The following is a 25,593-nucleotide window of genomic DNA, read 5'->3' as shown; positions in this document are numbered from 1 at the left end:
AGGAGAGGACAGTCCAAGTTTAAGCAGAAGAGGCTCTTTGAGAGACCTGAGACTTAGAGATGCCATGAGAGGGCTGAGCTTGCACACAGGGTCAGGAGGAAGAGTGTCTGGGAGAGGAAAGAACAGGCACAGGAGCTTGGAGGGGAGCAGGGAGGCCCAAGAGGCGGTGCCAATGGACAAACGATGAGGACCATGGTGAGGACTTGGGCTTCTGCCCTAGTAAAGTGTGAGCCATGAGAGGGTTTTGAGCAGAGGAGGGAGGACAGTTGCCTTAGGCTGGAGGAGAACAGACCCTAGGGGGCAAGGGTGGGAGCAGGAGCCAGCTAGGAGCTGACCCAGGGCCACAGTGATGGCGGGTAGATCACTTGAGGTCAGGCATTCAAGCCCAGCCTGGCCGGTGAAACCCCGTCTCTACTAAAAATACAAAAAATTAGCTGGGCGTGGTGGCAGGTGCCTATAATCCCACCTACTTGGGAGGCTGAGGCAGAAGAATTGCTTGAACCCGGTAGGCGGGGGTTGCAGTGAGCCGAGATCGCGCCACTGCACTCCAGCCTGGGCGACAGAGTGAGACTCCGTGTCAAAAAAAAAAGAAAAGAAAAGAAATCTTATTCAGCCACTAAAAGGAAAGGCCAGGCACATACTACCAGGTGAATGAACCTCGACTCCATGATCCTAAGTGGCAGAAGCCAGCCGCGCAAGCCCACAGAGCACCTGATTCCATTTATACGCAATGTCCAGAATAGGTAAACCTATGAATAAGCAGGGTGGCGCAGGGCCTGGGGGAGGGGACAGGGAGTGAGCGCTGGTGGGTCTGAGTGGTGAAGTTCTGGAACAAGACAGTGGTGCTGCTCACACCACATTATGAATGACCACAATGCTACTGAATTGCACATTTTAAAATGGTTCAAATAGTAAATATGTATTTTGCCACAATTAAAAAAAAAATCAGCCCAAGGCACACCACCTGGCCATAGGCTGCATGAAGCCGTCCGGCCGTGCTGGTGCTTTGCAGGCTTCTAGGTGGAAGGGTGCTGGCTCTTCCTTCCTGGGAGTCACGCTGTGGGGAGGAGAAAGGGGGTTTTCTCAGCCATGAGGGGCTGGGGGAGGGCCAGCTGGGCTGCCACAGCCAGGCAGCATGGGGTAGGACCATGGCAGGGGTGTCCGGCCTCTCCCTGGCCCAGCCCCTCAGCCACCCCCAGCTGCAGGACCCTGGGTGAGTGGCCCCCTCTCTGGGCTCCAGATGCCTGTCTCAAAAACAGTGTGGGGCCAGAGAGGGCAGCTCCAGGGGTCTCTCTCTTCTTGTCCGAGAGCCTGGAACCAGATGTCCTCTGCTGACTCATGGGAATGTTGGAACTGCCAGCACAGGCTATCCCAGGACCGTCCCCCGGGCCACAGCAGCCAGCGTCCTCCCCACGCCAGGCCCTCAGACCCCATGTTCCCAATGCTGGGATATATCCCAATGTGTGAGGCAGTGCTTCTTAATATTTCCTGGATCACATGCTTCTTTGAGAATTAGAAAAACCAACCACACTCTTCCCAGAAGAGCACCCTGAGCAGAGTGAAGAGCCCATTTATGACGTGGAGATTAAGAGCAGCTGTGCAGCGTCAGAGGGCCCAAAGCCCAAATCCCGGCCGTGCTGGGACTCACCATGCCTGCGCATCTCAGGTTCTTCCATCTGTGAAGTGGGTGTGTTAATAGCAGCCACCTCAGGGATTAGATGAGATCATTCATGCACATCACTTAGGAGATGCTTGGCACTCAATGAATGTTGGCAAGCCCACACTCTGCAATCTTCCCAAAGAATGCCCCCTCCCAGCCTTCACCTCCCTCTCCCTGCCTCTCTTCTCCCCCTCCCTGCCTCTGTCCTCCCCCTCCCTACCTCTGTCCTCCCCCTCCCTGCCTCTGTCCTCCCCTCCGCGCCTGTCCTCCCCCTCCCTGCCTGTCCTCCCTTTCCCTGCCTCTGTCCTCCCTCTCCCTGCCCTGTTGCCCTGCCTTCCAAATGCCATCTCTCATATCCATCCTCATCCCCATTTCCACTGCCAGGGAAGCAATGGTGTTTGCACCTTGTTCTTCTAATCCAACAAGCTTGCCAAGCTTGCCAAACTCTTCATTTGTCCTTTTTTTTTCTTTTCTAATGAGATAATCATACTGTCTACAAAACAACTAACTTTATCTCCTCTTTTTCAATATTTCAATATTGTAACCAGTCCATGTATATCTGAAAATAACTCTTTTTTGAACTGTTCAAGTCTATCTATCTATCTATCTATCTATCTATCTTGTTAGAGAGTGGATATAGATTCTGATTAATTCTAGATGTTGGTAGAATAAGGTTAAGTAGGTGTGTGAAAATATTGAGGGAGGCCAGGCACGGTGGCTCACGCCTGTAATCCCAGTACTTTGGGAGGCTGAGGCGGGCAAATCACTTGAGGTCAGGAGTTCAAGACCAGCCTGGCCAACATGGTGAAACCCCATCTCTACTAAAAATACAAAAAATTAGCTAGGCATTGTGGTGCGTGCCTGTAGTTCCAGCTACTCAGGAGGCTGAGGCAGGAGAATCACTTGAACCCGGGAGGCAGAGGTTGCAGTGAGCCAAGACTGCGCCACTGTACCCCAGCCTGGGAGACAAGAGCAAAACTCCATCTCAAAAAAAAAAAAAAGCAAAAAAGAAAAGAAAAGAATAGAAAGAAAGAAAGAAAATGTTAAGAGAAATCTCCAGAAAAATGAAAATAGAACGTATAACTTGTAAACTATTAGAGGGAAAACTGAAATGGGAAAAATGAAATCAACCCAACAAATATCAGGAAAGGGAAGAAAAACAAAACATGGGAGATAGAAAACAAAAACTTATATAAAAGGAATAAGTTCAAACATTTCAATAATCACATGTAATAAATGTGAATGGGTTAAATTCACCTATTCAGGAGTCTCCCTAGACAAAAAACCTATAGGACCTATATAGATTTGAACAGTTTGAAAAAGAAATTGTATTACATCTGTCAATTTCTGAGAAAAATATATTAAGGTCTCTCGCTCTAATTGTAAAATTGTCCATTTCTCTTTATAGTTCTATCAGTTTTTGTGTTAAATATTTTGAAACTATGTTAAGAGCATAAGATTTCATCATTTTTATTTTGCTGGTAGATTGTCTCTTAGCAACATGAATTCAGATTTCCTTTTTTAATCAAGTTTTTGCCTTGAGCTCTGTTTTGTCTGATACTGATGTATGCTTACCAATAGCTTTTTGTTAGGACTTTATAAATTATATCTTTTTCTACTCTCCTATTTAGAACCTTCCTGGGTCATTAGGATTTATATGTGTTTTTTGAAGGCAGGATTTCTTTTCTTTTTTTTTTTTTTTTTTTTTTTTTGGTCTAGGGAGACTCCTGAATAGGTGAATTTAACCCATTCACATTTATTGTATGTGATTATTGAAATGTTTGATCTTATTCCTTTTATATAAGTTTTTATTTTCTATCTCCCATGGTTTGTTTTTCATCTCTTTCCTGATATTTGTTGGATTGACTTCATTTTTCCCATTTCAGTTTTTCCCTCTAATAGTTTATAAGTTATACATACTACTTCTACTTTTCTGGAGATTTCCCTTTACATTTTCACATACATACTTAACCTTATTCTACGAATATCTACAGTTAATTAGAATCTATATCCACTCTCTATCAAGACAAGAGCTTCAGCACACATTTACTCTCTACTGCTCCACAAACTCCTCAACACTTAAATTGATAATATCTAATATTTTAGTTGCAGATTGTTATTAATTTTCAAGCAATCAACACTTACTTAGATTTAATAAGTTTTGTTGGTTTCTTTGCTCATCATTGTTTCTTGTATTCCACTTCTTTTTTAAGACAGGGTCTTCCTCTGTCACCCAGGCTGGAGTGCAGTGGAGCAATCACAGCTCACTGCAAGCTCAAACTCCTAGGCTCAAGTGATCCTCCCACCTAAACCTCCCAAGTTGCTGGGACTACATGCAAGCACCACCACGCCCAGCCAATTTTGCTACTTTTTGTAGACATGGGGTTTCACTATGTTTCCCAGGCTAGTTTCAAACTCCTGGCCTCAAGCAATCCTCCTGCCTTGGCCTCTCAACGTGCTGGGATTACAGGTGTGAGCTACTGCACTCAGCCTCTGTTTCTTGGATTACTTTTTCTTCTTGCTAGGGCATATCATTTAACAATTCTTTCAAAAAGGAATTTTATCAATGCTAAACGTCTTAGACATTATTTTCCTTCAGGTTTTAAAGATAATTTCTTCTTTTTTTCTGGCTTCCTGTATTCCATTATTTTGCAAGTCGTCTGTTTTCAGTCTGAAATATTTAGAGTCTTTTTTATCCCCAGTGTTCTGAAATTTCAACATGTCTGTCCAGCAAAGGCTCCCTCTTCATTTATCCTGATAGGCACTGGCAGAGTTCTGGGACATTGCCAGTCTCAGCTCTGGAAAATTTCTTCCCCTGCATTCTTTTGGTTATGTCTTCTGGGACCAGAAAATGAAACTTTGACTCTGTCCTCCATGTATCCTAACTTTTATTCTGTGCTTTCCATCTCTTTGTCCTTTCATGCTGCCTTCTAGAAGTCCTTAACTCAATCCTCTTACTCATTTCTTTGCTCGTCAGCTGTGTCCATTCTGCTATTCATCCCATTTATGGAGTTTTTTCAATGACCAGATTTTAACTTTCTAGATTCTCTAGTTGATTTTTTTGGGGATCCAATAGCCTATCCCATCTCTCCAGGGATACTGAGTACACCTTTCTAAGTCCTCATCCTGGTGCCTTAACTCCCTTTCCTTGGGTGTCAATTCTCTCATTGAGGAGTTTGCTGCCTGTCATTCACAGGCTCATCTCTGTGTCTGAAGTTCATGGTTAGCCAATCTGCAAGCATCACAGCTCTCTCCCACAGCCTGCCCCACTCGTGGGGTAGCAGAATGCACCACCAGCCACTACCTAATGTTCTGTGCATGGGGGCCTCCATTCTCCCTAAACACACCAGCCTTCCAGGACAGTGCCTGCCCCTTCAAGCCTTGCACTCACATTACTTCTGATGACCACTCCCTCAAAACACAGATACCTGTGTTATCTGCTTGGTCTGGGTGTGTGTGTGTGTGTGTGTGTGTGTGTGTGGTGGTGGTGGTCAGGAAGAGGGTTGAATTCACCTGTGGCTCCTACTGAGTACCTTGAACAATCATCCCATCAGGGCCCAGGGGCCTACAGTGGCCCCAACTTTTCGCAGCAGCCAGCCCCCTCCCACCATTGGCCCCAGCCTCTTCTGCCTTTAAGGCCTTCAGCATAGTGTCTGGTCAACCAAGCGCACCAGTCTTGTTTTCAATGTGGTTGTGAATTTTAAAAACATATTTTTTGTCCCCTTAGAGGATTTGGGATGATGGGGGAGGCTTCAGTGTGAGTCACCTGCTACCCCATCCCTTTCTATTTCTTGCATGCCTCTGGGCATCTTAATCTCTGCAGCCTGAGGTGCTGGGCATCAGCCCTGGAGTCAAGCTGAGCCTGGACTGCACCTTCTCAGCATGACTTTTCACAGAATTGAAAGAGTCTAGGCCAGGCACGGTGGCTCACACCTCTAATCCCAGCACTTTGGAAGGCCAAGGCGGGTGGATCACCTGAGGTCAGGAGTTCGAGACAAGCCTGGCTAACACAGTGAAACCTCGTCTCTACTGAAAATACAAAAAATTAGCCGGGCCTGGTGGCGGGCACCTGTAGTCCCAGCTACTCAGGAGGCTGAGGCAGGAGAATGGTGTGAACCTGGGAGGCGGAGCTTGCAGTGAGCCAAGATCGTGCCACTGCACTCCAGCCTTTGCGACAGAGCGAGACTGTCTCAGAAAAGAAAGAAAGAAAGAAAGAAAGAGTCTATGTGGGCTGGGCGCTGTGGCTCATGCCTGTAATCCCAGCACTTTGGGAGGCCGAGTCAGGTGGATCACCTGAGGTCAGGAGTTCAAGAACAGCCTGGCCAACATGGTGAAACCCTGTCTCTATTAAAAATACAAAAATTAGCCAGGCGTGGTGGCTCACACCTGTAGTCCCAGCTACTTGGGAGGCTGAGGCAGGAGAATCGCTTGAACTTGGGAGGGGCTGAGGTTGTGGTGAGCAGAGATGGCACCATTGCACTCCAGCCTGGGCGATAGAGTGAGACTCCATCTCAAAAACAAAGAAAACGTCTATGTGGACCTTATTTCATCCTCACCAGGATTCATGACGTGATGAAGTGTCTGGCATCTGCTCAATATATGTAGGATCCTCTCCCCATTTCTCCCTTGCCACCGCCGTAGAAAGTCAACTCCTTCCCTGGTGTCTGTTTGCAGTTAGCAGTCTAGGCAGTGAGTCCTGTAGGGGACAGAAGAGATAGACTACCCGGGGGGCTGGAGTCGTCGGGGACCTTTTGGCGGAAGGGACAGGCGGGCAGGGCCTTCAAGGAAGAACAGGCTTGAAATAAGTGGTGAGGGAAGGAAGAGATTCAGGCTGGAGGTGGGGGCAGGCGGGAAAGACAGACCAAGGTGAGGTGTGGGAATGTCAGGGAAAACCATCGTCTGCTTTGTTTAGGCAGAGGTCAGGGTCTCAAATGCCATAGGGGGCCAGGAGGTGACAAACCTGGGACCAGGGCTGGGTCTGAGGGCGGGGGGACTGAATCCTGGGGCAGGATGCTTAGTCAGGTTACTGCCCAACCAGCCCAGCCGTCTGTGCCCACCTTCTGAGGACTTGCGGTGGAGGATATAAAAGTACCCTGAAAAAATACAGTGAGCCGCCAAAGTGCTTCTGAGGGCTGCCAGCTTGCAACCTCTGGCGTGTGTGGGCGCTCAGTGCTGGGACCATGGGAGGGGCCTGCAGCAAATGGAACCTACCATGAGAACAGGGACCCATGGATGTCTTTGGGCACCTGCCTTCCTCCTAGCCAGGCCTGCGCAAAACCCCAGCCACCCCCCAGTCTGTCTCTGAGGCCTCAAATGCCCACAGCACTTTGCTCTTTTAGGTGAAGTCACAGCTCTGGTGATTCATCTTGCCCCCCGGCCAACCAAGTGGTTGAGGCCCCCAGGGCCTGCCCACAGGAGCTTCCAGAACGTGCCTGGGGTCAGAAAGAGATGCTGATCATTAGGAACATCCTTATGGGACCAGAACATGGGGCAGGTCTGGTCTGGGTGGTGACTGCAGGCCCCAAGAGAGGTCCCTCCAGGGAGGCAGTGAGGACTTAAGCATCCAGAGCCGGTCCTCTGGCATCATCCAGTGGCCATTTGTGTGAATTGCAGCCCCACACCACTGCCTGATCATTCTCCAAGGAGCCAAAACTACCAGGAGTAGCAGAAAACCAGGGTGAGAATACAAGATTTCTGCCCACAGCCTGTTTGCATCTCCTCAGCCCTGCTTCTTTCTAAATTTTAAGGAGACTGATTATTGCTGGGTTCCTTTAGGCCCCGACCTGTGAGTACAAGCCAGCCTTGCCAAATCTAATCAAGGACTTTTTTTTTTTTTTTGTAATTTTATCCAAATTGCCAACTGGGCAGAGACGATTCCTGAACAGGCAATTTGGCTACTATTTGTACATATTTCTACCCTTAAGAGTCATCTTGTTACAGCCCTGGCATAAACTGGCTTAGGGCCTGTAAGAGCCCAGAGGAAAAGAGTCTTTTTTGGACTGTAGCGCGTGAAGACCCAGCCTCTCCCTCTCCAAAGCCGCAGGGCACCCTCAGCCTAGCCCCCCAGGCCTGGGCAGCTCTGGATAAAGGTAACACTGCAAAAGCTGCTGCTGACACAGCCCACACTGCCTCCCTGCTGCAGGGAAGTCAGAGCCAGGGCTTGTGCAGAAAGCGCCGGTAAAGACAGGTGAGCGGCAGGTGCAAAGCCGCAGGAGAGAGGCATGCGAAGAGCCCCAGGAGCCCCGAGCGCCGGGGAGATGGGGAGGGCCAGGTCCTGAAGGGTCTTCTTCCAGTGCTAAGCTAAGGAGATCCCACTTCATCCCCAACGTGACAGGGAGCTGTGGGTGGGCTAGAGGTGCAGCCCGAGGCCCAGCTGAAACCTGCACAAAGCCCTGGCTTGGAAGCAGAGCGACTTTCCTCTTCAGGCCTCCTTAAGGTCTTGCTGGTAGTGCATGCTTGAGGTTTGTGGCTGGGGACAAGAAGGTTTCTGCTGGTCAAGGGTGAGCCCCCTACCCTGGTAGGCTGCTCACGGGTCCTCAGTCTGGCTGGCGCCCTGGGCCCATCAGACATTTGTCCACAGCAGCCCGGGGCGTAAGGGGAAGAAGAGCTGGCCCAGGAGGGCAAGAAGAGCAGGTAGGGAATGGGGCCCTTCCCCCTTCTTTCCCCACAGCTGCCTGTACCCATGCACGCCCCATCATAAGCACGCGCGAGCAGTCATTTGAAGGGGGCTGTGCTGCCACCTGGTGGCCACACCAGGACAATGTCCCTGGAAGGACTCCAAGTTCCTGTGGAAGGCCCCTCTTCCCCATTTAGGACTCCCTCCCCTGAGCCCACCGCCTTGCTTTACAGATGAAGTCAGTTCCCTCAATCAAGCAGCAACATTCTGGAATAAATGTCCCTATTTCCTTCAACCCTTTCTCATGGATGCTGACCCACTCTCATTTGTCAGCAGAGGAAGTCGGCTCAGAGAACAGTCACACAGCAAGTCGATGGCAGCGCCAGGCCCTGTCCTGCAGACTCCTTGTCCCTCTCTCCTCTGAAGCAAACTCTGGGGGCTGAGCTCCCACCCCAGCCTTGCTTGCTGTGTGGCTTGGGGCTTGCCAATGAGCCTCTCTGAGTCCTGGTTTCCTGGGGTTGACACCATGATGCAGGGTATAGGAAGGGTTAAATGAGGCGCAGGTGTAACAGAATCGGGTGCACATGCAAAAACTCAGATGTGCAAATAACTGTTCCCTATTAACTACAACTAATCACTTTTTTTAATTGCCAATTAAAATGAACTCAGTCTTTCCATTAAAGCGGTCTTTGGTTGAACTCAGGCTCTTTCGGGGAAGCATTGAGTCGTTCAAAGTTTCCATGCCCTGGAGGGGCTGATGATCCCTCTGTGCTTGAGAGGGTCTCCCTCATTTCCTTCCCTGCCACGGGCACATCTGGATCCAGGAGCTGGCTTCTGCTTCAGGGCCTGGCCGTGCTGCCTTGTTTCGCCGGGTGGGCCTCCGCCCTGCCTGCTGAAGCTCCTGAAGCTCGGCGAGGGGCCTGCTCCTGAGGCCCAGCCTGGGCCCCAGGGGTGCTCTGAGCCCCTCAGGTCTGGCTGCAGCTCCCATCTGACCCCAGACCGCATGGTCCCCCGCAGCCCTCAGCCCCAGCTCACTTCGCCAAGCAGGCAGTTGCCCACCAAAGTTCTTGACCGTGGTTCCTCCACAAGCACACAGAATCCCCTGGATTTTTCCTTTCCAGGCTGAGGAAGAGCAGGGGGCCTTGGGGCTCTACCTGGGGCTCACCTGCTCAACCTCTCTCATGCCATGCAGAACCAGCCCCTCACCAGCTGGGGTTTCTGTGGGATTCCTGTTCTCTTGCTCATACCCCCCAACACATACAACTACTATTGAACCAAGACAAATGGGGGTCACTTCCCAGGGCCCTGGCTCATCCTCCAACAGCGTGGCCCCTCCGAGGCTCTCCTCCCACCTAGGACCAGGGGCAGATTACAGTCTAGTGGGACCTTTCCCCAGGTCATCTCCTTCCTCCCTACCCCATGGACTTCCTGTCCTGGATGACACCTGCCCTACCTTCCCATGGGGTGGTGGGGGTCATCACTTGGCCTGATTGGCAGGAGTGCAGGGAAGAAAACTGAGGCAACAGGAGTTGTCTACAAAGTGCTGTCTCCATTGCATATGTAAGCGCCAGGCCAGTCACACGGTGGAAGATCAATTCGCTCATATCCCCTTCTCCTCACCCTCCTTGGCCCCAAGACTGACAACTGAGGCCACCTCAGTGGCTGGGCCTGCCCCTCTGGCCTCTAAGAATTGGCCTGCTCTGGCCTGACCCTTTCTGCCTGTCCTGTGGTTTTGCTGCAAGCTGAGCATCTGGCACCCACCTCGGATGGAAGCCCAGCTCCTGACCCCAGGCCCTGCTTTACCCAGGAACACCTGGGCCCCAAGAGAATGCCAGGCCAGACGACAGTGCCAGGAGGCCACAAGCGCAGCCCCAGCATGGCCACCGCCTAGGGCAGCCCCAGCAGGCCTGGCCACACAGAGATGGTTCGTGCCATCCCTAACCAGGAACAGCTCCAGAGGGTGGTTCTGTGGCTGTGAAATGTGCTGATCACAGTGGCGGGACACAGTAAGCACTAAGGAAACAGCTATTGTCAGATTGATGCTTGATGTGGTCCCAACAAATGGGGAATCCTGACCCAGAAAACTAAAGAAACCCCATGGTCTTTCTGCCTTCAAGCCCGAGGCCAGCCTGGAGGGCTCCAGTCCGCACCACTTCGGGTGTGTGTGTATGGTGCACACACATGTGCCCCCTTCATCTCTGCTTCGTCATCCTCATCCCGGCTGCCATCCATTGAGCCGCATCTATATGCCGGACACTCAGAGAGAGATGCCCTTAAAATGTCCATTTTGCAATTTAAAAAAACACCCCCACTAAAGCTCAGGCATAGAAGCAGAGCATAGAGGTCTGCAGGGGGGTTGGGAAGGGAGTTGGGGGGACAGCCACCCTTCCTCTGCCCTGGGCTGCGGCTCCTGCCGCCGAGCTTCCCTGCCTGGCTGGGCTGCCCCAGGCCTCCCTCCCTCCCCAGCATTTGGGCCCCTCGTGAATGAGGACACATTTTACAGAGTCATGTGACCCCCCGCCCCGTGACCACCCAGCAGCCCATGTAAGAAGACCACGTGATGGAACCCGAGGGCTGAAAAGTGCCATTAGTGCCACCCCAGGGTGCACGGGACGCAGAGCAGGCCCTGCCGCAGTACTCGCCACACAGCAGCCTCTGTCGCCTGCGGCAAACAGGCCACATCCCCAGCCCATCTGTTCATTGGAGGGTTTAGACCCAAATGCTGGAAGTAAACTTAATCTGGTGAGACTGCTCCCACGCCTGTCCTCCACGGCACTGGCCATAGCCCCTCCAACATGAGTCATCGCCAGCCTGGGGCCGGCTGTTATTGACCCGGATGTCCTGGTGCGAAGCCTGTTCTGCTTATGGTGACTTCAGACCAGGCCACCCACCCCCTGAGCCCGCTGTGAGGCGTCACTGCACTTGTCACAGGCTCTGCTGCCAGGTTTGCCGCCACCACCACCCCTCGCTATTTCTGGGCCCTTTCTACGACATCATCTGCAACCACTGTGGGCCAGAGCTCAGCTGCTCGCTCAGAGCATGGGCATGGTGTGCCAGCTGCTCTGCCCTCCAGGGAGCGTCCACAGGCTGGGAAGCAGAAGCGGACAGTGCAGTGAGAGAGCAGGAAGGACGCGAAAGCCTGGTCAGACTGTGTGACCCCCTGGGGGTGAGCGTGCCCTGGGCCTCCCAGGCCAACGAGCTTTGCGCACGTGCACATGGGTGGGTTTGAGCTGCGTTTCTGACACACGCAAGTGGAAGTCTGGAACCTGGAAGGGGGCCAAGGTGGCGGGGGGCGGGGTGGGCAGTGAGGACCCCACCCAAGCTGGGTAGGGGCTGCAGTGGGGAAGCAGCCAGGGACTTGGGCCAATTGCCCACTGAGGCTAAAGCTGAAGGGACCCAGCACAAGAACGTCTCGTGCTGGGACACGCTGGCCCACATGCCACCTGCTAAGGCTCATTAAGGGGTTGCCCTCCGCCGGGGCGGGCTGCCCAAGTGCAGCAGAGACCGGCTCCCCACAGCACAGGTGCAAATGGACTGATGAGGGATCCCCAGCGACACATGTGCCCTGGGAAGTGTGTGGTCTGAAGTCCTCACATCCCTCGGAGCCTGGAAGGGGGTGAGTGACAGGACAGAGGCTCAGCAACGCTGGCCAAGGAATCTGTCCTTCCTAGGCATGGGACACCCCGCTCAGTGTGGGGGTCCCCATCAGCAGCTTGCGCAGTCCCTGGGCCCTCTGGGGTGGAGACGGGTAGAGGGCCCAGCCAGAAGGGCTCTGCCACATCGTCCTTCACAAAAACGTCTGAGGAAAAGGCCACGTGGACAAAAGGAGGGCCTCCTGAGAAACACTGAGCAAGGCTGACCCAGGTCGAACGCCGCATGGCCTCGGGAACGTAACTGCACCTCCCGAGCCTGCCTCCTCCCCCCCACAGGTGGGAATGGCACTGCCGTGGACTGGAGAAGGATCAGAAGCTTTCCTCACATGCATGGCCTCATCTGGCCTGACGACCCCACGGGGTGAGGACTCACAGCCTACATGTGTCAAGAAGAGCTGGCCTAGGGTGGGGAACCTGGGCCAGTGAGCCCTGGACAGGCCCAGGCTGCTCTCCCCCTGGGCTCAGGCACTCGAGGAGTCCATGCAGGAGATACCAGGGGTCCCTCAGAAGGTGACCTGTGGTCAGCCCACCCCTGGTCAGAACCCCAGGCTCGGGGAACCACAAACCCCAGAGAGGTCTGAGGGCCAGGAGCAGTGTTCCCATCCTCAGCAGGGTCCCCAGGGTGGGGGCGAGGCCAGGCAGCAGTGGCCCCTCACCGAGGACAGATGGACACCCTGCACAGACAGGGATGAAGGGCCAAGGGGGAGCAGCATGGGGACAATGACAAGGCCCCTCTGCTAGAGGCCCCCCTGCTGGAGGCCCCGCTGCTGAAGAGCAGGTAGGGGAGTCAGATTCCTCCACCCTCTGGCAGGACAGAGAAACAGGGGCACATTCCCCACATACCTGAGCGTGCGGCCACGATTCCTACATGCTCCACAAACCTGCTTTCCCAGCGCCCTCTCCACCTGGGGGATGTCACCCCTTCCAGGGGCTCTGGTCCTAGAGCTCTGAATCTTTCCAATATTTTCAAATGAATCACAACTTTCACCGAGAGCTGAGTCACTGAGAGGCCAGCCTGGTGGATAAGGGAGGGATAGAGCTGATGTGCCATGGGGCAGAACCAGGCCTAGCTCTCCTAACGGGGGTGGATCTTCTTTTCTGGGGTTCAAAAACTGGTTCTGAGGCAAAACACAAGCTTCCCAAGCTTTCAAGAAAGTGACCTTCATTTCAATCAGAATTTTTTTGTTGTTGAGATGGAATTTTCTCTGCCACCCAAGCTAGAGTGCAGTGGCGCGATCTTGGCTCACTGCAACCTCTGCCTCCCGGGTTCAAGCGATTCTCCTGCCTCAGCCTCTCGAGTAGCTGGGATTACAGGCGCCCGCCACCACGCCCAGCTAATTTTTGTATTTTTAGTAGAGACAGGGTTTCACCATGTTGGCCAGGCTGCTCTCGAACTCCTGGCCTCAACTGATTCATCTGCCTCAGCCTCCTAAAGTTTTGGGATTACAGGCGTGAGCCACTGCGCCTGGCCTCAATCAGGAGACTGTTGACACGATCATGAATTTGGGGTCTCAGCCAAGGTCAGTGCAATGGGGACGGCAGCAGCCGGCTGAGCATCCAGGTGCAGACGGCACCTCACTCATCAACGCCTGCTTCCCATTTCCACCTCAGCAAGCTCCCCCCAGCCCTGGGTCTCTGCAGGGCGTCTCAGCCAGGGGCTGGCCCCTTCTTCCACATAGGAGACCGTGCTGGGACCTGAGGCCCCCGGGGCCTCCTCCTGCTGCTCCACAGTGCCTCGGCAGCCCCAGGCACCCCTCGAAGTGCTTGTTAACGTCACAGCAAGTTGCTTTGAGACCGTCGGGTGGGGTCATGTTCTGAAACATTTTTGCCCCTGCAATTATTTTTTTTTCTTTAAATAAATTATGTGGCTGAAGCAGCTGCCCACCTCGGGGTGAGTGATGATAACAGCAGAGAACAAATGTGGCAATTTGGAGCATGGAGTTCCTAAACTGACCTTTAAAACTGATGGCAATTATCAGTCTAAAAGGTTTCGCAACAGTCCGTCTCCTGAAGGATTCAGAGCATGTTACTCTTGCGGATGCTTGGTTAGGAGCTGACGGAGACTGCCCAGCCCTGCCCTGCCCTAGACTCAACAAAGATTCCCTGGCTGGTGTAAGAGGCAGGAGGGAATGTCCCCCAGTGGTACCCCACCAGGCCCTGCTCCCCTCTTTGTGGACAGAAGGCCTCAGGGCCCCTCCACAGCTCCCTCGGGGTCCGTGAACACTGCTCTCAGCAACCCGACCCACACCCCTGCACCAAGTCAGCCCCCAGGCCCGGGGCTCTCCCTGGGCAGGAGGAGGGAGGGAGAAACCAGGATGTGGCTGAGAAAATCTGGACAGGATTGAGTTTCTGTCATCAGAAGGACCCCCAGGATGGAAACAAGCCAAGTTGTTTTCTGCACCCCAAGCTATAGTCACAATGTTTTCAGGGTGTGGCTGGCCCCAGGAGAGTCCCTGTGACTCGAGTCTTCTGATGGGGCAGTCCCTCTCAGGACAGGGCGTGGAGCAGGTGGACAGGCCCTGCTGGGGACAAGAAAGGAGTTGCACATCACACATTCTCCTGGCCCTTCATGAGGAGGGACTTTCAGGGCCCCACAGGTGAGACCTCAGACAGCAGGAAGAGGCAGAGGGACTCAGGAGCAGCTGGGCAGCCAGCACCCCAGGGTCAGACTTCCCTCCAGAGCCATGTGGCAAGACAGCCAGGACTCTTCCAACCACCACCCTGCCTGGACCAGATGGTTTCAGATCATGTGATGCAACCCCAAATATATTCCTGGTTCAGCCTCTCCCCTTCACCCCAAAGAAAAATGTCAGTTCAGCGGGTAAGGGGGTGGGGGTGCCGTGGAGATCTGCCTTTGGCCAAGCCTAGAGTTCTTCCTCCCTAAGCTGGGGTGATGGAGCCTGGAGGAGTCCTCCCTCCCTAAGGTGGGTGACGGAGCCTGGAGGGATCCTCCCTCCCTAAGCTGGGGTGATGGAGCCTGGAAGGGTCCTTCCTCCCTAAGCTGGGGTTATGGGGCCTGGAGGGGTCCTTCCTCCCTTAGCTGGGGTGATGGAGCCTGGAGGGGTCCTCCCTCCCTAAGCTGGGGTGATGGAGCCTGGAGGGGTCCTCCCTCCCTAAGGTGGGTGATGGAGCCCAAGCTCCTGAGACTATAAGAACAGGAACATCAAAAAGCTCAGCCAACCTTGGGCCATGGGTGCCTTCCCCTTGTCTTCTCTCCTATCTGACCCTGCCTCCAGGGCAGCCCAAAGCATCTCTGTCATATAAGGCAGAGAGGCCTGCCAGGAGGGCCCCAGAGCTGGGGTGAATTAGGGGCATGGGCAACCCATGTTCCCTTCAAGGGCCATGATGGGAGAGCGGCCAGAGCAGTAACGGGAAGGGCATAAGGACAAGAAAGTGGTCCCAAAACCTCTCCAAAGGTTAGTGGGGAGGTGGCTGGTTCAAGCTGTCACTTCCCAGCGGGTCAAAAGGAACAGAAGCTGAGACTCTAACACCAGCCTTCCCCACAGGGCTCCTGCGATCCCACAGAAACTTGGCCTTGGGAGAAGAGCGGAGGAGAGGGGGACGGGGGACCCTGCTCTGAAGCACTGGGGCAGGTGCGGGAAGGAGGCACTTGAGAGAGCAACCGAGTGTCTGGAGCCCATCTCCTAAACCTCACCAATGAGAGTGGGTGGGTGGCCCGAGGAGACCACCACTAAGACCCACCTCCTAAGTCTCACCAACGAGAGTGGGTGGGTGGCCCGAGGAGACCACCACTAGGACCCACCCTGCGAGGCATGGGCTGAAGTCATGCCTTCCTCCGCCTGTCTTCAATGCAGTGGAACTGCCCAGACACTTACAAGACCTGAAGCTGGGTCCCCAGTGGGGGCAGACGCTAGAGGATCTTAGGGCAGGCCACAGCCTTGAGCTACACACATGAACAGCATTTATTTTTCATGCACTCAACACATGTTCAAGCCTACGGACTCTCTGCTGGGCCCTGAGCGGGGCCCTGGGAACAGAGGTGTGAGAAACCTCTAAGCTGGTCGAGGCCAGGGCCAGTATCGTCCCCCAGCACAGAGCCTGGTGGCCGCTGTCACCTAGTGAGTGTTTGCTGAATACACAGAAGGTCATGTGGGGTGAGCAGGTTGGGCAGGGCAGCTGGAATAAGGGGTGCTGTGGCTGAGACCAAGAGGGGCTTGTCCCCACCTGGAAGCACCTCAGTCGCCGGGTTCCTGGTCCTCCTTGCTGATGGCTGCAGACTCTGGGAACAGGGAACCCCCTTCTGCCTCAGAGAACTTGCCTAGGGAGTGGAGACGGCCACCAGCCCCCTGAACAGTGGCCTCAACTCCTCCCTGTCCTGAGCCCCTGGGCTTCTGGCAGCTTGGTGCCTGCTGCCTGAGGTCAGGCTGAACGGCCTGGGACCACGTGTCTATGTCCAAGCGCCCAGAGGGCCCAGCCCTGCCCCGTGATCAGGTTAAGGCCTGGCAGGGCTGGGGAAGGGAAGGGACATGCAGCAGGAGGTCATGGGGCCCAGGAGTCTAGGAGGGACTCCCAGACCAGCATACTGGCCCCACAGGCCCCGAGCTGGGAGCCCTGAGGTCAGAGCCCCACAGAGGAGCCCGAAGCACAGTCCAGCTCAGCAGGGCCGCTTGCTGTCCAGAATGGCCTTCCAGTCGTCCGCCCACGAGTGCAGCCTGCGGCGGGGGGGCTGCAGCTGCAGGTGCTGGTTGTGGCAGGCGGTGAAGAGGACATGCTCCCAGCTGGGGGTTGGCTCGGCCCCTGTGGGTGGGAAAGCGGCATTCAGCTCAGCAGTGGAGACCTGGAGCGCAGCCGCCTAGGGTGGAAACCTGGGTATCCAGGCAGGCATCTGGCCTTGCCAAAACTTGTTTCCTCTGTAAAGGGGTGACTGCACGCACACCCGCCTTCGCAGCGGGTGTGAGGATGGCACGAGATGCGGCAAGGAGGCCGTCAGCACGCGCAGCCAGTGCTCAGTCAACAGGGACTGACTGCGGGTCACTGTCACCACCAGCACTGGCAAGGGACATGTGCCCCGCCTCCTGATGGCTTACACCACATGGTGTTCCCCCGACTTCCCTCTCCGTGCCCTGCCATCCTGATGGCTTACACCACACGGTGTTCCCCCAACTTCCCTCTCTGTGCCCCACCATCCTGATGGCCTGGTGTGGGAAGGCCAGGTGGCACCAGCTCTGCAGCTCACCAGCCGCTGATCACAGGCCCCTGCAGCCTCTCCAGGCCTCATTCCCTCGTGTCCACACTGGTGCTGCTGGTGATGCCACCCCTTTGGGTTATACACCCGCCCCCAACAACCTGTGGCTGGAGATGGAGGCCAAGCCAGCCTTTGGGCCCTCAAGGTCACGGGACCCCACAGACCACTGTCTGCCCTGACTCTGGCGGGAACCCACGAGGCTGGGGAGGGTGGGGTGGGGTGGGTACACTCGTGGAGTCCACCCTCTGGACGCAGTGATGGAGGTGGGCATGTTTCCCAAGCCAGTTCTAAAACAATCAGGGAAAAAAATAGAATGTATATTCCCACTGGGGTGTCCAAAAGACTCGACCTGAAACTACTGACGGCTACCAGGAGGAGGATGTCAAAAACCAGGCCAGGGCAGAGCCAAGAGGCAAAGAAACAACACTCACGGGCAGTTTCAACGCCTAGATTTGGCCGGCCAAAGCCCTCCTCACCCCTTTCCAGTTAGGTAAACCAAAAAACTTCCCCTCTCCTGTGCTGTGTTGTATTTTGTTTTGTTTTCTGGAGACAGGGTCTTACTCTGTCACCCAGACTGGAATGCAGTGGTGCAATCACAGCTCGCTGCAGCCTCCACCTCCCCAGCTCAGGTGATTTTCCCACCTCAGCCTCCAGAGTAGCAGGGACCACAGGCATGCGCCATGATGATCAGCTAATTTTTTTGTGTTTTTTTTTTTTTTTTTGTAGAGACAGGGAGTCTCACCATGTTGCCCAGGCTGGTCTCCAACTCCTAGGCTCAAACAATCCTTCCACTTCAGCCCCTGAAGTAGCTGGGACTACAGGCATGCACCACCATGCCCAGATAATTTTTGTATTTTTTGTAGAGAGAGTCTCGCTATGTTGGCCAGGCTGGTTTCACACTCCTGGGCTCAAGCCATCCACCCACATCAGCCTCCCAAATTACAGGCGTGAGTCACCACGCCCATCTCCCTCTCCTTTCTACGGCAGTTCAAGGTTGACTGGCTTGTTTGGTTTTGGGGAGGGGGGTCTTCTGTCCCAACCCACCTTCCCTGCAGGAGCTCTGCTCTGCCCTCCTGTCATTCATTGCATCAGTCCACATTGCTTTTGGGGGAAAAAATGGGTTTTGTTGCTAAAAACAAACATTTGGAAACCAGAGTTGAGTCCCCATGTTACATGAGGAAGACAAGGCTTTGAAGCTGAAGGGACTTCCCCAAGGCCACCCCTCAAGCTAACCCTAGAGCTGGCACCCACTCCTCCCAGCTCCCAGGAGCACCAGGCCACAGCCCATACAGAGGGGGCCTTGTCTTCCCGAAGGGGAGGGGCTCAGTGCCTGGCAAACAGCTGGTGACTAAGTGGGGCAGGAAGCAACTGAGTGCTCACTGCCCAGGAGAAGGGGGCCAAGGCTGGGGCCCTCCCCACGTGCTCCTCACCTGTCGCAGGCCACTTGCCTGTGATGTCCGGCCGGTCGTCTATGAGAAGGTCAGCAGAGACCACGGTCTTGTCTCTGGTCAGCACAATCTGCTCCAGAAAGTCAGGGCCAAAGTACTTCTCCACCCAGGCATACTGGACGCAAACAGGCAAGGGCAGGTGGTGAGAAGAAAGTGACATCAGACCTGGGAGCCAACCAAGAGCCGAGGGCAGGGGTCAGCCTAGACCTCAGCTAACAGGCAGGGAGGGATGGAGGCCTGACACCAAGGCCCAGCGCCAGGCAGTCAGTGCTGGGAGGGAGTCCAGCCCAGGACGCCAGCACTCAGGGAGCGCACATGGCTGGTCCACACTCCAGTAGCTAGAAAGCAGCAGAGTCACGACAAACCCAGCCCTGTCCCCTCTTCACACCCAGCGAACACTGCACAGCATAACCCAAACACAGGGAGCAGAGGGCGGCCATGTGTGCCACCCCTGCCACCTGCTGGGCCACTGCCACCTCCTGCCCCACATGCATGTGGGCAGTGCGTACTGTTAGGCACTGAAGAAAGAAAACCAAGACAAAAAGCAGTTCCTACCCTCAGGGAGCTTACAGCTGAGGAGACAGCGGTCAAGGCCCTCTTAAACAATGGTTACATAACACCTGGGACAGGCCTACAAAGAAGCCACAGGCTGCCCAAGGAAGGCTTTCTTCAGGACAGGCAAGCTGACCACAGGGGCACCCCTAGCACACAGCGCATTCCAGGTGCTAACGGACATGGGGCAGGGTGTGTCTGGGCCGATGGATAGCAAACTGGGGTGCTGGTGCTCCCCGGGGGGCAGGGAGCAGACCGGGGCCTGGCAAGCCACCGGCATCCTCTCGCCACTGGTGGGCTCTCGGCATCCTTTCCCTTTGCCTCGATTCCCTGGGGAAATTGACTTTTTCCTATAGGGTAGCAGGTCCTGGCTGCTCTCACCACCCCAGTGCAGCCAGGGGTGGGCGCAGCCTAAGCACGGCACCTGCTCTGGCCCATGGGCCCCAGGCACCCTAACTGAGCCCTGCCCAGCTCCAGGCTGTCTCTACAGCCATCCAGATTCCAACACCCTTGTTGATTTCTGACACTGGCAACCAACCCTTAAGTCACAGACCCTGTTACAGCTACAGAGGTTAACCAGCAGCAGATTTTAAGCAGAGGAGGGGCAGGACTGGATGCACTTTTTCCCTAAGCTCCTCTGGTTCCTGCATAAACAAACAGAAACACTGAGTGGCCCAGGCTGCACAGGGAGCTCAGGGCTCTGCCACCCTGGGGCAGAGCCGGGCAGGTCCTTGCCCTCCCAGGGACTCCGTTTTTCCCTGTGTATGACAAGGAAATGGGACATGGGTGCCTTAGGGTGGCTTTCTTCCAGTTGGAGGTCGCTTCAGGAGTCCCACTTCACAAAGGCAGACACCACATGACCCTCTGCAACCGGCCAGCACACGGGACGTGGGAAAAGGGCCGGATCTGCAGAGCAGACCAGCCCTACCGCTGTCCCAGCGCCACCTTTCCCTGTGGCCACCTCGCTTGCCACGCCCACCCACGACAACCTCCTCTCACTGCTTGACTGTATTATGCTTTTTCCTGCTCAGAGCCTCACATGTGCCATTTCCTCTGACTGGAACATTCCTTCATGGACACGTGTGTGCACACACACATGCACACACACACACATATGCACAGGGCCCTTCTCCTAGCCCAGTGAGCACCTATCCTTCTAAAGCTGCCACCTCCTAAGCCTTCCCTGAACTCTCCCAGTCTAATTGTCCTCCCTAGCAATGTCACAGTCGGAGCTACACATCTCTATAACTTACTTCGCATCTTCCCCACAGGACTGTAAATCGCTGGTGCAGGCTGGATGGGGGGCAAGAGCCTGGGGCTAATGTTTTCAGCAGACCCACTCCACAGGCATGCAGTGTCCGTCATCGTATCTAAGCCTCACGGCAACATTCCAAGTAGCCAAACTTTCCTGACTTGTGTAGTAATTTAGCCAATATTGCATGAGGTACAGTTCCAGGAACCAGAGAGACGATGGTCAACAGGAGACCCATGGAGTGCACATAGCAGGAGGAGGCACACAGGCCACAGACAACGATAGCCAGGGGGCAAGGGCTCTGCAGTCAGCACAGAGCTCCAACCTCACACAGAGGCCTCACTGCAAAGGCGGCATCTTCTCTGGACCCGACTGACAAGGCGGCTGGCTCTCCACAGGTCGGCAAGAACATTCCAGGCAGAGGGAAAAACAAACACTGATGTTCCAAGGCAGGCCGGTGCTCAGGTGTTTGAGGAATGGGGAAAACCCTGGAGTGTGGCTGGAACATGGAACATCTGGGAGTGTGGGAAGAGAAGGGTCAGGTTTTGTTTTTTTAATTTCCACTGCATTGTGACCAATGCTTTTGTAAGATATGAAATCAAATCATGTGCCTGAACACTGCATCAGACAAACTGCCATGAACATTTCCAATCACACACACCCAGTTTCCGTGTTTCATCTCGGACCGGCGCCACTCTGCAGACAAAATACGGAGCTGCTCTGCAGAAAGGGTTTGCGTGGGAAAATGATGTGCCACGATAGTGGTGACGAGATCCCGTACAGATGAAGAAATGGAGGCTCAGAGAGGGTCTGTGACTTATCAGGGGTCACATAAACGGCAAAACAAAGTGGGCTGTTTGTATTGAGTTGTGAGAGTAGTTAATGTATTCTAGAAACCAGTCCTTTATCAGACAATGCATTTTGCAAATATTTTTTCATGATCTGTGATTTGTCTTTTCATTTTCTGAACAGTGCCTTTTGAAGAGCAGAAGTTTTATACTTTTAGCTTTTATATGTATATATGTATTTATATGTATTTAACCCATTTGGGGTTAATTTTTTTTTTTCTTTTTTTTGAGACAGAGTCTTGCTGTCGCCCAGGCTGGAGTGCAATGGCACGATCTCGGCTCACTGCAACCTCCACCTCCCAGGTTCAAGTGATTCTCCTGCCCCAGCTTCCCAAGTAGCTGGGATCACAGGCGCCTGCCACCATGCCTGGCTAAGTTCTTTGTATTTTTAGTAGAAACGGGGTTTCACCACGTTGGCCAGGCTGGTCTCAAACTCCTGACCTTGTGATCCGCCCACCGTGGCCTCCCAAAGTGCTGGGATTACAGGCATGACCCACTGCACCCAGCCAGGGTTAAATTTTATATATGGTAAGAGGTAAAAATAGAAGAGGGCATGGGGTTCCCCCTGAGCCTCCTGGAGCCCAGCCATGAGCACTTATGTGGCCACTGCGCATAGATACCACCAGCTTCTCACGTGAGTATCTCTATCCCTCAGCAGGTTGTCTGGTCCCTGTGTGGTGACACAGGGATAAGGACAGCATCTACCTCGTGAGTGCCTTCGGGGATTTAGTGGAAAATTATGCATCAGAGTCTCAGTACTGCACCTGGCACACAGAAAGTCTTCAGAAAAAGGATTCTACCTTTTTGTCTTACCCTCAAAATTAGGCCCTAAGTCTGGTTCTGATACATACGAGCTGGGGACCTTGGGCAAGCCAGTGACTTCCACTGTGAGGTCAGTTTCCTCACAGTGTTGCTGGTATGATCAAATAAAAAACTGTGAGGACACCTGAGTAATGCCTGATACAGACGTACTAAATAAATGTAATTATTATAACTAGACTTTCATAGCCCCAAATCATCTACATAAAGCAACTAGAACTGTTAATTTGGCAAACTAACAGGATACAAGGTCAATATAAAAAAATCACATGTATTTTTGGAATAAAACTAGAAATCAATAATGAGGAATTCTGGAAACTATACAAACACAGAGACATTAAACAACATGCTCCTGAATGAAGTGGGTCAATGAAGAAATGAAGGAAATTGAAAAATTTATTGAAACACATGATAATGGAAGTACAACATACCAAAACCTATGGGATGCAGCAAAAGCAGTACTAAGAGGGAAGTTTATAGCTATAAGTGCCACATCAAAAAAGAAGAAAATGCTTCTGTGGGGGCCTGAATTTAAAAAAAATAAAAAAAGAAGAAGAAAAACTTCAAGTAAACAACTTAATGATGCATCCTAAAGAAACAGAAAAACAAGAGCAGGCCGGGCGCGGTGGCTCACACTGTAATCCCAGCACTTTGAGAGGCCAAGGCGGGCAGATCACAAGGTCAGGAGATCAAGACCAGCCTGGCCAACATGGTGAAACCCCATCTCTACTAAAAAAACAAAAATAAGCTGGGCATGGTGGCACCTACCTGTAGTCCCAGCTACTCGAGAGGCTAAGGCAGGAGAATCGCTTGAACCCAGGAGGCAGAGGTTGCAGTGAGCCGAGATTGTGCCACTGCACTCCAGCCTGGGCGACAGAGCAAGGCTCCATCTCAAAATTAAAAAAAAAAGAAAAGAAAGGAAAGAAAAGAAATAACAAAAATCAGAGCAGAAATAAATGAATATGAAATAAAAAAAATACAAAAGATTGGTTTTGTGAAAAGAAACAAAAAGTTGGTTTTTTGGAAAGGTAAACAAAATGACAAACCTTTAGCCAGACTAAGAAAAAAAGAGAGAAGACCCAAATAAATAAAATCAGAGATGACAAAGGAAACACTACAACTGATATTACAGAAATTTAAACAATCATCGGTGGCTACTATGGGCAACTACATGCCAATACATTAGAAAATCTAGAGGAAATGGACAAATTCCTAGATACATGCAATCTACCAAGATTGAACCATGAAGAAATTCAAAACAAACAGACCAATAACAAGTAACAACAACTGAAGCCATAATAAAAAGTCTCCCAGCAAAGAAAAGGCCGGGACCCAATAGCTTCACTGCTGAATTCTACCAAACACTTAAATAACTAATACCAATCCTACTTAAACTATTCAGAAATATACAGAAGGAAGGAATACTTCCAAACTCATTCTATGAAGCCAGTATCACCGTGATACCAAAACCAGACAAAAACACATTGAAAAAAAGAAAAGAAAACTATAGGCCAATATCATTGATAAATATTGATTCCTAAAATCCTCAACAAAAGATTAGCAAATTGAATTCAACAACACATTAAAAAGATCATCCAGCATGACCAAGTGGGACTTATCCCAGGGATTCCAGGATAGTTCAGCAAATGCAAATCAATTAATGTGATATATCATATCAACAGAATGAAGGACAAAAAACATATGATTATTTCAATTGGTGCTGAAAAGGTATTTGATAAAATTCAATATCCTTTCATGATAAAAACCCTCAAAAAACTGGGTATGGAAGGAACATACCTCAACATAATAAAAGCCATATATGACAGACCTATATATGGCTAGTATCATACTGAATGGGGAAAAACTGAAAGCCTTTCCTCTAAGACCGGGAACATGACAAGAATGCCTACTTTCACCACTGTGATTCAACATAGTACTGGAAGTCCTCGCTAGAGCAATCAGACAAGAGAAAGAAAGAAAGAGCATCCAAATTAGAAAGGATTAGAAGTCAAATTATCCTTGTTTGCAGATGACATGATCTTATATTTGGAAAAACCTAAAGATTCCACCAAAAAACTACTAGAACTGATAAAGTCAGCAAAGTTGCAGGATACAAAATCTGAAAAAAACAGGAACAATCCTGAAAAAAACAGGAACAATCTGAAAAAAAATTAAGAAAGGAATCCCATTTAAAATAGCTACAAATAAAATAAAATACCTAAGAATTAACCCAAGTGAAAGAGCTCTACACTGTAAACTATAAAACACTGATAGAATAAATTGAAGACACAAAAAGTGGAAAGATACTCATTCCATGTCCATGGATTAGAAGAATAAATATAGTTAAAATGTTCATACTACCCAAAGCAATTTACAGATTTAATGCAATCCCTATTAAAATACCAATGACAGGCCAGGTGCGGTGGCTCACGCCTGTAATCCTAGCACTTCGGGAGGCCGAGGCAGGCAGATCACGAGGTCAGGAAATCGAGACCATCCTGGCTAACACAGTGAAACCCCGTCTCTACTAAAAAATACAAAAAATTAGCTGGGCGTGGTGGCGGGCGCCTGTAGTCCCAGCTACTTGGGAGGCTGAGGCAGGAGAACGGTGTGAACCTGGGAGGTGGAGCTTGCAGTGAGCCGAGATCGCGCCACTGCACTCCAGCTTGGGTGACAGAGTAAGACTCCATCTCAAAAAAAAAAAAAAAAAATACCAATGACATTCTTCACAGAAATACAAAAAAAAAAAAAAAAAAAAAACCCTTAACATTTACATAGAACCACAAAAATTCCAGAATAGCCAGAGCTATCCTAAGCAAAAGGAACAAAACTGGAAAAATCACATTATCTGACTTTAAATGATACTACAAAGCTACAGTAGTCCAAATGGCATGTTACTGGCATAAAAACAGACACACAGATCAGTGGATAAGAATACAGAACCAGGCCAGGCGCAGTGGCTCATGCCTGAAATCCCAGCACTTTGGGAGGCCGAGGCGGGCGGATAGCGTGAGGTCAGGAGTTCAAGACCAGCCTGGCTAACGTGGTGAAACCCCATCTCTACTAAAAATACAAAAATTAGCTGGGCATGGTGGCACATGCCTGTAGTCCCAGCTACTCCAGAGGCTGAGGCAGGAGAATCACTTGAACCCGGGAGACGGACATTGCAGTGAGCCGAGATGGTGCCATTGTACTCCCGCCTGGGCGACAGAGTAAGACTCCGTCTCAAAAAAAAAAAAAAAGATCACAGAACCCACAGATAAATCCATATATCTACCTTGAACTCATTTTTGACAAAGGTGCCAAGAACATATATTGGGGAAACGACAGTCTCTTCAATAAATGGCACTGGAAAACTGGATATCCATATGCAAAAGAATGAAACTAGACCCCTATCTCTTGCCATATACAAGAACTACTAAAAGAAAACATTGGGGAAACTCTCCAGGACATTGGTCTGGACAAAGATTTCTTGAATAGTACCCCAAAAGCACAGGCAACCAAAGCAAACACGGACAAATGGGATCACATCCAGTTAA

General features: G+C 52.0%; 1 protein-coding gene across 10 annotated transcripts in view, besides 4 other annotated features; it reads right to left on the bottom strand.

Moving 5' to 3' along the window:
* Positions 7,555-8,055: an enhancer, noted in NCBI's record as "H3K4me1 hESC enhancer chr17:17258751-17259251 (GRCh37/hg19 assembly coordinates)". NCBI's record gives its function as "activates a minimal SCP1, AML or CMV promoter by ChIP-STARR-seq in naive H9 embryonic stem cells {active_cell/tissue: H9 hESC(naive)}" and the evidence as "EXISTENCE:reporter gene assay evidence [ECO:0000049][PMID:30033119]".
* Positions 8,056-8,556: an enhancer, noted in NCBI's record as "H3K4me1 hESC enhancer chr17:17258250-17258750 (GRCh37/hg19 assembly coordinates)". NCBI's record gives its function as "activates a minimal SCP1, AML or CMV promoter by ChIP-STARR-seq in naive H9 embryonic stem cells {active_cell/tissue: H9 hESC(naive)}" and the evidence as "EXISTENCE:reporter gene assay evidence [ECO:0000049][PMID:30033119]".
* Positions 10,923-11,217: an enhancer, noted in NCBI's record as "tiled region #4579; HepG2 Activating DNase unmatched - State 4:PromP, and K562 Activating DNase matched - State 5:Enh". NCBI's record gives its function as "activates a minimal TATA promoter and a strong SV40 promoter by Sharpr-MPRA in HepG2 and K562 cells {active_cell/tissue: HepG2 | K562}" and the evidence as "EXISTENCE:reporter gene assay evidence [ECO:0000049][PMID:27701403]".
* Positions 11,482-12,061: an enhancer, noted in NCBI's record as "H3K27ac-H3K4me1 hESC enhancer chr17:17254745-17255324 (GRCh37/hg19 assembly coordinates)". NCBI's record gives its function as "activates a minimal SCP1, AML or CMV promoter by ChIP-STARR-seq in naive H9 embryonic stem cells {active_cell/tissue: H9 hESC(naive)}" and the evidence as "EXISTENCE:reporter gene assay evidence [ECO:0000049][PMID:30033119]".
* NT5M (5',3'-nucleotidase, mitochondrial) overlaps positions 15,829-25,593 on the bottom strand; it is a 44,291-nt gene continuing 34,526 nt past the window's right edge. For 3 of the 10 annotated variants that reach the window (NM_001438936.1, NM_001438938.1, XM_011523964.2), the window contains 2 exons: positions 18,566-18,698; positions 15,829-16,687 (listed from right to left, as the gene is read on the bottom strand). In NM_001438936.1, coding sequence (NP_001425865.1) covers positions 16,545-16,687; positions 18,566-18,698 — 276 coding nt within the window. In that variant the 3' untranslated portion in view covers positions 15,829-16,544. Of the gene's footprint in view, positions 16,688-18,179; positions 18,265-18,565; positions 18,749-25,593 lie in introns of those variants that run through there. The other 7 variants (XM_047436419.1, XM_005256731.4, NM_001438937.1 and 4 more) reach the window with 5 other exon arrangements.

The sequence above is a fragment of the Homo sapiens genome, chromosome 17 (assembly GCF_000001405.40).
Source record: "Homo sapiens chromosome 17, GRCh38.p14 Primary Assembly".
NCBI lineage: Eukaryota > Metazoa > Chordata > Mammalia > Primates > Hominidae > Homo > Homo sapiens.
This window is presented reverse-complemented; position numbering and strand designations above follow the sequence as displayed.